A 14,573-nucleotide genomic window follows, 5' to 3' on the forward strand; every position below is an offset into this window, starting at 1 on the left:
ACAGCACTGTAAACATATCAGTATAAATTGACATTTCCCAGAAGATGGATAATAGTTCAGTTTTAATTCCGATAATATTTAGAATATAGTAGACAACACCAAGTCCCATTTTATAATGAAGGCTTTAATACACTGGTATATGAAAACAGAGAAACAATGTTAATGAAGAAATAACATTAAAAAATATTTTTGAACCAACCAGAAGAACTTGAGTTCTGGTTAAAGCTAGTCTGACACACACTGGATTTATCCTTTTAAAGTGCTTCATCTCTGGGTAGTTTGATGTTAATGTCACAGTGTCACTTACCATCTTTCAGGATGGTTTCTCTCTCTGTGCCATCTATCTTCTGCCGGCCAATTAGGAAACTGGTGGTGTCAGCAAAGTAGATGTAATTGGTTTCTGCGTGAAAGTCTAAAGCACGAGGGTTTACCAGATTTTCTATGGGGATCATGTATTCATCAGCTATCTTGGTATTCAAGTCCATTCCTCTAACAATTCCTGGGCGTCCTTTCCCATAAAAGAGGAACAACTCATTCTTTGGTCCTGCAGAGGAAAGATTACAAACACAAACAACTGATGCTGCTTAATCTTCTTTACACTGCATAATGCCACCGTTTAACTGGCACAATTAGCGTTTTTTAAATTCAATGCTAAAAATTAAACTCTAAAATATGCCAAATGTATCTTGATGCAAGAAGGCCAGCTAATTGCATTACTTTAATTAAAACAGAAATTACTTCCGCAAATGGGTTATATGTAGTTAATTATCCCTTTGTCTGTAACTGTCTGGATAGCAAAAACATGACAGATCATTAGATAACTTGTAACTTGTAAAACCGGCATTTATTAAAACATCGGGCACATTTAATTTTATAATGTATTATAATCTATCTAACATTTTCTGTCGATACTAACTGTACCATTCATTATATTTGACAATGCTAAAAACTTCAGAAAATTTAAGACACACCAACCCCAAGTTTGCATCTACAAATTGTCAGAGGCAAACAAAGAATCATATAGTATCACTAACTTGCATGTGAATATATTACAGTTGCCCAAACATGTGACTTATTCTTTTTAGAAATAAAATTAAATACCAGTTATAGCATCCCTTTATCTTCAAATTTTAATTAGAATGTTAGAGGCTGATGCTGTCTGACAGTAACTCTGATGTACAACACAGGCCTTATCAAAAACAAAACGAAAATGAAAACCCCAAGCAAAAAACTGTCTCCTGAGTTTAAAATGTCAGCATCAAGGTAGCTCTTTCTATAAAATGAATTCCTTATTTTAGACTTCTATATAAAAATATATACAAGATTCTCCAATTATCGGAGCATCTTATACTTGGTTAACTGTGTATAATTTTAAAGGAAATAGTTTTTATATACAAGGAAAAACATACTGAGCTTTATTAATAAAACTGAAGATACAAAAGACTCAGCTGTATTTGGATAACAACACAATAATTGATATTCATAGTAAAGTAAAATAATATATTATTAAAATTTGGAAAATAATAAAATAAAAAATAAGCAATTATTTATAAACCTAACAATACAAAGTATATTAACATTTATATTTCTTTTCTTGTGTTTTTTAAATTAGGGTAATTGAATATTAAATATATATAAAAGAATATTGGTAATTTTTTTAAAAATTTTACTTTAAGTTCTGGGTACATATGCAGAGTGTGCAGGTTTGTTACATAGATAGCATACATGCACCATGGTGGTTTGCTGCACCTATCAACCGGTCATCTAGGTTTTAAGCCCCACATGCATTTGGTATTTGTCCTAATGCTGTCCCTCCCCTTGCCCTTCATCCCTGACAGGCCCCGTTGTGTGTTGTTCCCCTCCCTGTGTCCATGTGTTCACATTGTTCAACTCCAACTTATGAGTGAAAACATGCAGGGTTTGGTTACACCTTACACCTTATACAAAAATTAACTCAAGATGGATTAAAGACTTAAATGTAAACCAAAACCATAAAAATCCTAGAATAAAACCTAGGGAATACCATTCAGGACACAGGCATGGGGAACGACTTCATGACTGAAACACCAACAGCAATTGCAACAAAAGCCAAAGTTGGCAAATGGGATCTAATTAAACCAAAGAGCTTCTGCACAGCAAAAGATACTAGCATCAGAGTGAATGGGCAACCTACAGAATGGGAGAACATTTTCGCAATCTACCCATTTGACAAAGGACTAGTATCCAGAATCTACAAGGAACTTAAACACATTTACAAGAAAAAACCAAAAACATCAAAAAGTGGGCAAAGGATATGAACAGACACTTCTCAAAAGAAGACATTTATGCAGCCAACAAACACGAATAAAAGCTCAACATCACCTGTCATTAGAGAAATGCAAATCAAAACCACAATGAGATACTATCTCGCACCAGTCAAAATGGCAATTATTAAAAAGTCAGGAAACAATAGATGCTGGCAAGGTTGTGGAGAAATAGAAACGCTTTTACATTGTTGGTGGGAGTGTAAATTAGTTCAACCATTCTGGAAGACAGTGTGGCGATCCCTCAAGCATATACAATCAGAAATACTATTTTACTCAGCAGTCCCATTACTGGCTATATACCCAAAGGATTATAAATCATTCTACTATAAAGATACATGCACATGTATGCTTACTGCAGCATTATTTAAATAGCAAAGACCTGGAACCAACCCAAATGCCCATCAATGAAAGACTGGATAAAGAAAATGTGGAACATATACGCCGTGGAATACTATGCAGCCATAAAAAAGAATGAGATCATGTCCTTTGCAGGGATACAGATGAAGCTAGAAGCAATCATTCTCAGCAAATTAGCACACAAACTGATAACATATTTTAATATATAAAGAATAAAAATAAAACAAATCCCAGGTACCTAGCAAAAATGTGAAGAATATTTCCAGTACACTGGAAGACATAAATGTGCCCCAAACCCATTCTCCTCCAACTGAGAAAGAGCCGATATCTTGATTGTTGTGTTTATTTTAAATTTTTAAAAGAGTTTTAACACATATGTAGTGTATTTCCCAGCAGCAGATTGTTTAATTTTGCATGTTTGAATTGCATGTGTGAATTTTGTGATTAATATTATTTTTATTATATCCTTGATATTCATCCATTCTTCTTGTAGTCATACTTCACTCATTTTCATTGCTGTATAGCATTCCTTTGTATGACTGCTTCATATTTAATGTATGTAGGTATTTTTTCAATGTATATTTACTTATATCAAAATAGATACTCAATTTTATACTCTGCTCTTATTGTTTAATTTTAGAATCAAGATTATTGTCTATGTTGAACCATTATCTTAAGCCTTGTTTCTATTTGATATATAATAATTTACCAAGTCATTTTCCAAATGGTTTTCTGTTTTCATCATTATAATAATACTGAGATAAGCATAATTTTTTCAATTTAGCATTTCACACATTTTCTTAGACGAAATTACAGAATAAAGTACCTTAACATCCTTGTCTTCATTGCCCTCATAGCCTCTCAGTGTCTACCTGATGTCAAGGGCATTTCTTTTAAAATAATACTTTATATTATTTTAAAGTATATTGATACATTTGAAAATCATTAACATTTCTAGAGTATTTTCTATCAACATTAGATACTTACATACTTTTATATTTTTCAAAAATTGGGATCTTGTATATAAATTCTTTTTACTGTAATGACTTTTTGTCAAGCCATTAAAAAGTCTTCAAAAACTTTCCTTTCAATGGCAGCATAATATTTCCTACTAGAGAAGCAACATAATATAGTCGGCTGCTTACCTATTGTTGGATAGCTATATTGTTTCTGAGTTGCTATTATTACAAATACATTTAATTTCCTTAATCAAAAGTAAAGTAGGATAACTTGTGAAATGATGTTGTCAGTTTTATGATCATTATATTTATTAGCAAATGTCTTACGAACTGTGACATCGATTTCTAATTATATTAGCAATACATGGGAATCCTGGTTTTACAGCACCCATTTTGCTAATATCTCAGCTTATTGCAACCTCTGCCACCTGGGCTCAAGCTATCCTCCTACTTCAGCCTCCCAAGTAGCTGGGTCTACAGGAGTGTGCCACCATGCCTGTCTAATTTTTGTAGCTTTTTTAGAGACTAGGTTTTGCAATGTTGCCCAGGCTCTTATTGAAATCCTGGGCTCAAGTGATCCACCTGCCTCAGCCTCCCAAAGTGCTGAAATCACAGGCCTGAGCCACAACACTCGCCCTTGTTGTTACTTCTAATGGATGTCTTAATTGGTAATTGATAAACCTAGTACTTCATTGATGTAATATGTGTGATTGTTTGTTTGTGTATGTAGGTATGTATGTTTTAAATAAGAATGGCAATGATTTTCCCCATTATTTTCTTTGGTCATTTCCTAGGTATTCTTTAATACCTACTTAAGTTTCTCTAGTGTGTCTTCTTGTACTACAGACAATTGAATAGTAAAAAATACATTTCACAGACACTCATATAGCCAAGGGTAGTGGATTTCATTTGACTACCTAAAATCAGATATGCTAGCTCAAGTTTAGAATATGGAAGTGAGGCAAAGGTCCCCTTTTTGCCGCTTCTGCTGGTATCAATCTAATGGAGACACTGAATTTTTCCACAGCAGTCTTCCTCCATTCTATATCAAGAGGTGAGGAACAGGGTGTCTCTCCTCTCCTCCTCTTCTTTATTTTTTGCCAGTTAGGGACTATCAGATGAGACTTAACTCTACATCTGATAGTTGTGGGGCAAGCTTTCTAATCCCTGGATCTCAGCTAAATGGTATGTTTTTAAAGTTAACATTTTCATTTGTGGCTCCCTGATGCTCTAGCTTCTGAGTATGGTAGATGTTCCAGCTTTCAGCCAGGTTGGTTTAATGGTGTTTGGTGGAATGTTCCAAAGACCCAGTCTAGAAGCTACTGGTCCAGGTTTTTAAATGATTTTGTAGGCACCTATTTACATTAAATCTCTTGTTGCTTCAAATAGCTGGAGTTGTTTCTGATGACTTTCAATGTACTCCAGGTGATGTACTACATTAGGGACAATTGAATAATAGGCAATTCTGATCTTATGTTTTTCCTCCAATGTGTGTATGTATGTATGCACATATGCATGTGTGTATATATGTGTGTGTGTGTGTGTGTGATTATATTTCCCAAGTGCCATCCAGATCAATTTTTAAATCACACACTACATAGACACACATGTACCCACACACAAAACTTCTTTTATCATGAGGCTTCAAACTCAGTACCCTCAATTATCCAGAAGGCCTAGAAACATGAGACCTGTTACCTTCACATTCCCAGCATTTAATACAAAATCAGGAATACAAATAAAAAATGTAAACAAAGTACAAAAATGCATACATTTTAACATAGTTTGGACTCTTTGATTCTTCACTTTAAACTATATATTCTATTAGTAGCTCTAACCATTCAGACTTCAAATTCTAACACATTTAGTGATCTAATTTCACAGTCCTTAGTAAGCACATGACCAGAGGGTGGAAGAGATGACAGGATTGTGACCAGAGAGAAAGGACTGACAGAAATAAAAAGCTGTCACTATGACAAAGGTAAAGACAAACTGGACACTGTAAAAAGCAGTCATCATAAAATTAAAAATAATGGTGTTTGGGGAACATTTAAAGACCAACAGTCCCCACTAGGATCATTTCAATCAGGGCCGTTCTACTATACCTGATTATCAAGACCCCAGGAAAAGACCTTAACTAATTATTGTGCAAAATATTAAGTTATGAAAGTCATTTTTAAAATCCTTTTTACCATATTTAAATTAAAATAAATTATTCAGGCCTATTTTTAAAATAAAACAAAGATATATCTAAGAGATTAGAAAACTTTTTGATAAAATCGTTAAAACTTTTTGATAAAATCATTAAATGTTTGATCTCTAATTAGGTATAGCTTCAGCTATCTGAAAAATTGAATCATGACAAATTAAATCATGGAGTGAATTCACTCCCCAGTGATGCTGGATAAAATGAAGCCTGACTATACATGGATTTCTGTCGAAACAAGCAACATGCCTATTATGAGGAGTAGCATATTGGTTCAAATAAGAGGAAATCTGATCAACTAATCATTCCAACTTATTAGCTCAAATACATTCTTTAGGGAATTAAGGGAAGCATCTTTCTAAAAATCTTCCTCAACATATGTTTCCCTAAAATCAATAAATTTAGTGACTCCAGAGCCTGGTTAGTTTCTCATTCATATTATCACAAAAGAAAAATACTTATTTTGAGAAAAATGGACAGTATATATTTGCAGGCAAACTTCACCTGTTGAAGTCTCATGTTATGACTGATGTTGATGCTGCTAATTAATACTTAAAATCCTATTCTAAAGGGGTAGCTGCTGGCAAATGTTTTATTTTAACAACATACTTTTGCATGACCTGCCATCACTTCCCAAGTTGAAGCCAGTCCTGCAGCGACAAGTCCGAGTTTTGTAACTGCTGCTGAGTAGACAGATGTGTGAACAGCCCCCTGGCATTCCATATGGATCGACTTCACATGCATGGCTTCTGACTACAACAAATAAAAAACAGCATGCGTGAAATTCAAGTTCAAAGATAAGATAACTATGTGCATCAGTATGTCAAAATTTCTATAGTGTAAAAACAGGGAATCTTAGCAAAATTTTGTATACTCAACTATTTAGCACCATAATCGAATGCAAAAGAGTGTAAACCCCATAGAAGAGGAGACAGGGATTTGACAAAATCCTCCTAAGTGAGCATTTAAAAAAAATTCTAAGAAATAAAATGTGTTTATATTAATTTAAACTCTTCACCGGTGAGCAAAATAAAAGTAACATAACTTTTTTTTGTACTTGCTTCTCATCCTTTTTAAAAATACCAATTTCTAAAATGAATACAAAGATCCACAAAAATAATCCCAGGTTAGGTAGTTAAGCAGAGAAAGGATTTCCTTTGAAATGATTCATCATATGGGCAACCAAACTAGAGGAAATGTGATTCAGTGATTATATATACACTGTTGAGAAGTGCTGAGGCAAAATATTTTTTAAATTTTTAAGTCTATTGTCATTTTGAGACTCTTACCACAAAATGTGTGTGTGTGTGTGTGTGTGTGTGTGTGTGTGTAGTTGTCAAATGGTGGAGGCTGAGTATATGTATAGAAATTGAGGCGTAGAAGAATATTTTGTGAGCATAAAAGCTACTAAAGAAAAAAGGTAAGAAAAGTACTATATGGAGAGGATGAGAAAAGAAAGATGGATCAAAGTGAAAAGAAATAATAGGAATAATATAAGTAAGATTTTACATATTATTGTAATTATGTTTCTTTTAGATCACCCACTTGTTTGAAATGGTGATGAATATCATGGCAGTGTTCTCTTCATAATAAAACTAATATGCTTTTAAAAATTATGCCTATTATCTTTGTATTCTTCATTCTCCAAGTCAGAAGATGAGTGAAATGCAATTTTTACTAATTTTTTCCTGCCAAGAGTGTTATTGTTATTTTCCAACCTGACTCCACTTATACAATAGATCGCATCTCCTCTCAACTAATCAACAACTCTCCACTTTCTAAATCTTATCATCACTTTTGCTTTTTCCATTGGATCATGTCCATCAACATGCAAATATACCATTATTTCTACATCTAATCAAAAATCTTTTAACCCAAATTCCCACAACAATCCTTCCTTCAACTAGCTCTCCATTTCTCTGCCCTAGCTTACATCCACACTGTGCAAAGCTACCAATGATCATTTTCTACAATTCTTTTCCTTCTTCTCTCTCTCAAACCCATTCTACTCATATATTCACTTAATTCTGAAACTGCCCTTGTCAGATCCCAGTGAGCTTCATGCTGCTAAATCCTATGGTCAATTGGATTTAAGAAGCTTCATCTCAGTCTCTTCTTTTGGTTTTTCCTATTCTTTTCAGCTTATTGCTGGAGCATACCAGTGTCCATTATTTGGAATGCTTATTTCTCCATTTGTGATTACTGCCTTGGTGTTCACATCCATAGTCATGGCTTTAAATGTGACCTGTCTGTCAATGACTCCCAAATTGGTATCTCAAGCTTGGACTTCCCCCTTCAACTCCAGAGTTGTATATTTAAATATACCCTTGATATTTTCACTTTAATTTGTAATAAACATTTAAAGTAACTCATGAAAATTAAATTTGCTATCTTTGTCCTAAACTCACTCCATGCTTAGTTTCCCCATCTAAAAAGTAACTAAATTATTCCAACTCCTCTAGCTAGACCACTGTCTGATTTATACTCCACCTCTAATGTATCAGAAAATCCTATCGGCTCTATATTTGCCTATATTCTGAATTTCACTACTTCTTACCACTTTCACTGCTGGATCTTGATCCAATCCACCATCCTCTGTAACCTTCCAACCTTCTCCTCCCTACTACCTATTATCAACAGAGTAGCCATATTGGTTCTTTAAAAATGTCAGTCATACCGTGAGATTTTTCTGTTTAATGCTTTCTAAGGACTTCCCATCTCACTAAAAGTATAAGCAAAAGTTTTTTATAATAGTCTACAGAGCCCTACTTGTTATGGTCCTCCTTTGTTTCTCCAGCCTTATTTCCTACTTCTCTTTTCCTTGTTCGTTCTGCTTTAGACACACAGGTATTCTTGCCACTCCTTGAACAGTCTAGACATGTTCTCTCCTCATGGCTTTTGTGCTTGTTCATCCCACCACCTGCAATGTTGTTGCCCAGATATCTCTGATATGGTTTGTCTGTATCCCCACCCAAATCTCATCTTGAATTCCCACGTGTTGTTGGGGGGGACCCAGTAGGAGGTAATTGAATCATGGGGGCAGGTCTTTCCCATGCTGTTCTTGTGATAGCAAATAAGTCTCATGAGATCTGATGGTTTTAAAAAGGGGGGTTTTCCTGCACAAGCTCTCTGTCTGTGGCTATCCACATAAGATGTGACTTGCTCCTCCTTGCCTTCTGCTGTGATTGTGAGGTTTCCCCAGCCATGTGGAACTGTAAGTCCAATTAAACCTCTTTCTTTTGTAAATTGCCCAGTCTTGGGTACGTCTTTATCAGCAGTGTGAAAACCGATTAATACAATCCCCATGCCTTTCTCCTTCAAATACCTCAAGTCATTATTCAATGTCATCTTTTCCATGGAACTTCTTCTGACTCTTCCATATAAAATTGAAGACTGCTCCCATTTCTGACATCTTTATCCACCTTACTTTCTTGATTTTCTCTATAGCACTTATTACCTTCTAATATAATACATAATTTACTTAGTTATTTTGTATCATAGCTTCTCCACTGGAGTGTAAACTCATAAAGGCAAGACTATTTTGTCTGTTTTATTCACTGCTCTATTCACAGTATACATAGAATAGTTCCTGGAACATAGTAGATTGTCCATGAAAAATTAATGAATGAATAAATCCTAATATTAAACTCTAATAAGGCCATCTACAGAATTTTAAATTTGAGTCTGTTGTAAACATATTTGTGACAATGTACAGCCGTGATTAGATATATGTTAATGCTTAGATAATTCTAGGCTAGTTTTAATTTGAAATACAAGTATAAAATACAGTAAAAATTTTTGCTGGTGGCTTTTTATATTCTCTTTTTTTATGTATGATTGAACCTAAATTGTATTGATGAACAGCATCACTAATCTCCTGTAGAAACAACTGGTTTGTTTTTCTGAGAAAAACTGCAGCCTTCTCATTGAAAATTACTTTTTAATGAATATGTGTTAAAGAACAATTGCAATGTTAAGTTAGGAGAGCCCAATGACTATAATAAACACTGGACAGATACTTCAAGGCAGTCACCTGATTTTAAATTTGTCTACCAAAATGATATTTAAAAGGAAAAAATAATAACTTTAGCATCTGGGTTTCCTGTCTACATTCATCACGACTGAAAGCCCCTTCCTGAATCTAAATCTAGCTATCATTTCAATTCTATCATAGAAACGATTCACTAGAAACTGAACAATCTGTCATTTAGACTTGTGACGGGAGCTCTATTCCATTTAACAAGCAGACATGCCTACTTTTGCTGTCAAAGCAGAGAATTTATGACTCACTCACTTCAACACCATACAAAAGCACAAGGACTATATCCCCATTCAATCTACCATTAGGAAGGTAATAAAGAAGCTTTCCCACTTACCTGTTGGTTGAGTTCTTTTTTGATAAATTCGGATTCCCCAAGCATTCTCAATTTTAATTAATGAGTGAATATCAGTCCCATTAAATCGGTTTATCCTTACGATATTGTAGTTATCAGAATTGGTTGCATACAAATAATCTTCAAACACAGTTATACCATAAAGATGTCTAACCTATAAAGAGGGCAAAACATAACTATGATTTTTAATTATGTAGCTTGCAATTTGAAAGAAAAGCTGATTGCTATTTACTAGTATGGAAAATGGCCACAGCAGAAGAACCGCAAGGATGTTATTTACTTTTTCTCAAGGAGTTCAACATTTCCCTGATTAAAACTTTTTTTTCTGGAGAAGAAAACATTATGCAGTAGTGTTTAAAACAGTTCCAAATGTAGGGACAGAATTGTATTCATATGACATTAAGAGAGCATATTTAGTAGTTATTTTTCAAAGGCTTGTGAGAGCAAGACTTTCAAGCATATTCAATAATATGCCTGTGACACTGTTATACATAATTTGAGATATTTTAAGGGCTACTTGTTTATATAATAATGGATATTTAGAAGCTGCAAAAACATAGCTCTCCCTGTGAAAAGACTAATGAGAAAGCACCTCCGAAGATTTGTTTTATAAATTCAAAATCCAACTTTTTGGTCCCAATCTATGTTTAGACTACCACTTGCTCCAGCACAGAAAGTAATATATAAAGAAATCACATATTTGCAATCATTGTAAATAAATGTCAACATTTCACTCAGAAATTTCATTATTTCTAAAGCCAATTTATCATAGGAAATAGAACAGTTTCTTTTGAGAATTATGATGTTTATTGCTATCCATATACTTAGTTAACAGTCCAGCTCTTCTCTTTGGCAAAGGTCTTAGAGTTTGTGGGGAGGAATGGATATCTTGAACTTAGAAAGTTTTCCCCTGGAGCAAAAAGAAGAATACATGTGCTGATTTTCTGAATAAAAGGCACATGCTAGGCACCTTGCCTTTGGCTACTCATTTACTTAATTTAAATGGTTCTGTTCCAGGGTAAAGTGAAGTTGCCACTTGATTTGCTGTAGAGATTTTGTTGAAAAAGCATCTGTCACTACTTTCGGCATTATATTGCACACTTTTAATACACAGATTTGCAGTTAAAGAGAATTTGAAAAAGTATGTGCGGTTTGATTATAAAAATACTTATAGAACAAAATCACAAAATTTTCTATTTTAACCAGAAAATCTTGCCAGTTCTATAGTTTAAACAAAAACATTTGATTTATCTTTTTAGCATATATGACTCATTACTTCTATTTCTGGTCTTCTTGTATGAGACACGACTAAAAAAAGACTGGCTTTACATGTCGTTTTTGGGTTTTATCTCATTTCTTCATGCTTAGGTCGGACATAAAATATAAGAATGACTAGGGAGAACTATTCCATGTTATAGCCCGAATAGTTTTTTTGTATGTACATGTTACTCCACAGTATGGACATGTGTTGTATTTATGTGTGGGTCCAGGCATATGTGTATTTACTAATATCATTTTCCACCTAGCTGACATCAAATTTACTAAAAATATCTATGGTCCAATTTTGACTTGGGTAATACTTTTGTCCTACAAAAATTATAAGCAAGCTCAAGACTCTTCCTTTGCCATTAGTCTCGTGCATGTTTTGCTCAAAGTTTGGGGCCATCAACCAAGGAACCTGTGGTGATGGGATATCAACATTGTTGTCACATGACTGCCAATTCATAACCCAGGAGAAAAAGCCTGCTACATAAGAGGCAATTGGTCAAGGTAGAAAACATGTTCACCCAGTAAAGATAAAATTCACTCACTACCTCCCTATCTTCCTTCAGAAAAGACTGTTTCCCCTAAAACAGGCACCTCTGCTAATTACACCCTAGGCAGAGGTAGGAGAAGCCTGGAGCAGTAGGTAAACCATTTTGCCTTCAGCCCCAGTACTTCAAAAACTGTATCTATGTTGGATTATTTAGTGGCAGACTTAGCATATGTTTAAGGAACAAGCAAAATACAGGCAATAGACATGGGGAAAAAAGAATAAACACTTCAGGCTTTCAAAACTTTTTAAAGTAGTCATGAAAAAATTTATTTGAACTCCCTATCTTCATAACAAGGTTTAATTTTTTAATTGCAAATAAGTAAAGAGAAGGGCCATGATAATCATCTCAGAGATCAGGTCCTCTAAGGTTGTAACTAAGAGCTTTGAAAGGAATCAAGATTTTTGGGGCAGTTGAAGGTGAGAGAGAAAGCACTGGCCCACCTTTAACATTGAACAGGTTCCCCCACTCCAACCCCACCCCAGACAGATTAGTGCATCTCTTTATCTGTCAAGGAAGGAGAAAGGATTTCATTTTAAAAGCTGATTAGAAAGTAAAAGTAACTTTAGAGGATAATCACAGAATGTACCTGTCTTGCATTGCAAAAGAATCCAAAGAGATTCACATATTTCAGCTCCATAGACTAAGAATCTCACATAAAATAAGTGCCATTAGTGAGATAAAATCAGATTTTTAAATATATTATAGTAAATAAGGCTGATTTCTACTTAGAGATCTCTTTTAGGCATTCACTGACTGTTGTTTGCAAAACGTTGTAATTCAGCAAAGTAAAAAGTAACACATTTAGGAAGAATTTTGACCTCCGTGACTTTCACAGAATTCTCTTTTTAGGAAGTACTTGAATACATCAGAAGTCAAAATTTAATCGAACTTGTTATAATAAAGGTACTTTTGTGAACAGCCATTTGCTTTTGTTAGCAAAATATCTCCAACGCCACATGGGACAGATGATAGTCCAGCTCCTCATGAATGAACTACTTAAATTAGTTTTTAGTAAATAGGCCATAACATCTGACCTATTTTAATACTTTTCTTTCTTGCGAATATAGCATTTTTGTCTTTGTTGTTTTGTTTTTTGTTTACTTGTTTTCTCTGTTTTTAATAGAAGGGAGAAAGAGCAAGAGAGGCATCTCCAATTTTGTGGAAATATCACAATATCACTGTGAAAAGAACATTCTCCAATATAGGAAATATACTGTAATTTTTATGACTCATTGCAGCTCGACTTTACAAGAAATTTTCAGTATTGCAAATTTTGGTATTATTCCTTTCTTTTTATTACCCTAGGAGCGTTGTCTAACAAAATTGTACTTACTTGTCTGCCTTGAATGACAGTGTGTCTATTTTTTCCTTGATAGTCCACTACTCCCACATAGTCCAAGTAAAGATCTACCCAGTAAACCAATTTGTTGACTAGGTCTAGTGCCAGTGCAGCTGGCTGCTCTGTCTTTGAATCAATTATCCTTGTTCGGTTCATCCCATCCATGTCACATCTCTCCACTTTGGCGACATTCCCGTAGTCAGTAAAGAAAAGTTTTCTGTTGAAAGAAAACTAAATGTTAAAGTGGAGGGTGGGGGAGGGAAGCACGTTTGATGGAGCCATCTGTAAAAAACAGAACTTTTTCTTCTAATTTATTTCAGTGATTACATCTGTTGGCTTCATATAACCATTTCCTTATAATATCACTCATAAACAGAGAAATCTGCTAATGAATATTGCAGGGCATAAGGGAGCAGGTTAACCAACAACTGTAAAATTTCCCCAAAATGAATGATTATAGTGGGTTTATTTTTGTATTAGCAGAAATGTTTCTTTAAGCCTCATGGAGCTGAAGCACATCAACCACATTCAGTGTAAGCTTCAGAAGTGAGCCAAGTCACCAGGCCAGGGCATGTGAGCTATCAGCCTTTATCTTCAACCTGCCTTTCAAATTGCCTGGTAATGTTTGTGTCTTATAAAACTTATCATGTGGAGCTCAATGACGCTATGAGTGGTGGAGAATAGCAAACCTGGAATGGAATTAAGCAGACAGAAAAGCAAATGTGCTGTTTGTAGCAACAGAAATAAAACATAAATAATCAATTCCCCACCAAAACTTATCCCAAATTCTCCCAAATATTCCCAAATCACAAAATTGTATTTAAAAAGTATAGGTCATTTCTTCTTGTTTTTTCTTAATATTTATTTTGGAGAAAAGGCTGAAGAGTAATGTTGACCTCTGAGACAACAAATTCTTTCATACTGTGCTAATGGTGTCTGTCAAAGTTTAAAATGTAACTCCAACACTTCAGTATCTAATATTTGATTAGTATTCACTATGTTTAGTAAACACAAATCAATTTTAATTAACCTGACAATATTTAACAAGATTACCCACTCATGAGACTAAATTACATTTGTAAATAGAAGACCATCTTGCCTTGACTTAAATACAATCTCAAGAATAATCCAATTTACAGTGACTGAGCAATATTAAGATTACCTAGAGTATAAAATATTTGATTTTACAAACTTG

The 14,573-nt window shown here is 34.2% G+C and overlaps 1 protein-coding gene across 3 annotated transcripts in view; it reads right to left on the bottom strand.

Moving 5' to 3' along the window:
* LRP1B (LDL receptor related protein 1B) overlaps positions 1-14,573 on the bottom strand; it is a 1,899,594-nt gene that overhangs the window by 817,256 nt on the left and 1,067,765 nt on the right. For all 3 annotated transcript variants that reach the window (NM_018557.3, XM_017004341.2, XM_047444771.1), the window contains exons 8-11: positions 13,373-13,595; positions 10,205-10,376; positions 6,438-6,581; positions 308-544 (exon numbers count right to left, since the gene is read on the bottom strand). In NM_018557.3, coding sequence (NP_061027.2) covers positions 308-544; positions 6,438-6,581; positions 10,205-10,376; positions 13,373-13,595 — 776 coding nt within the window. The remainder of the gene's footprint in view (positions 1-307; positions 545-6,437; positions 6,582-10,204; positions 10,377-13,372; positions 13,596-14,573) is intronic.

Source organism: Homo sapiens, chromosome 2 (assembly GCF_000001405.40).
Source record: "Homo sapiens chromosome 2, GRCh38.p14 Primary Assembly".
Taxonomy (NCBI): Eukaryota; Metazoa; Chordata; class Mammalia; order Primates; family Hominidae; genus Homo; species Homo sapiens.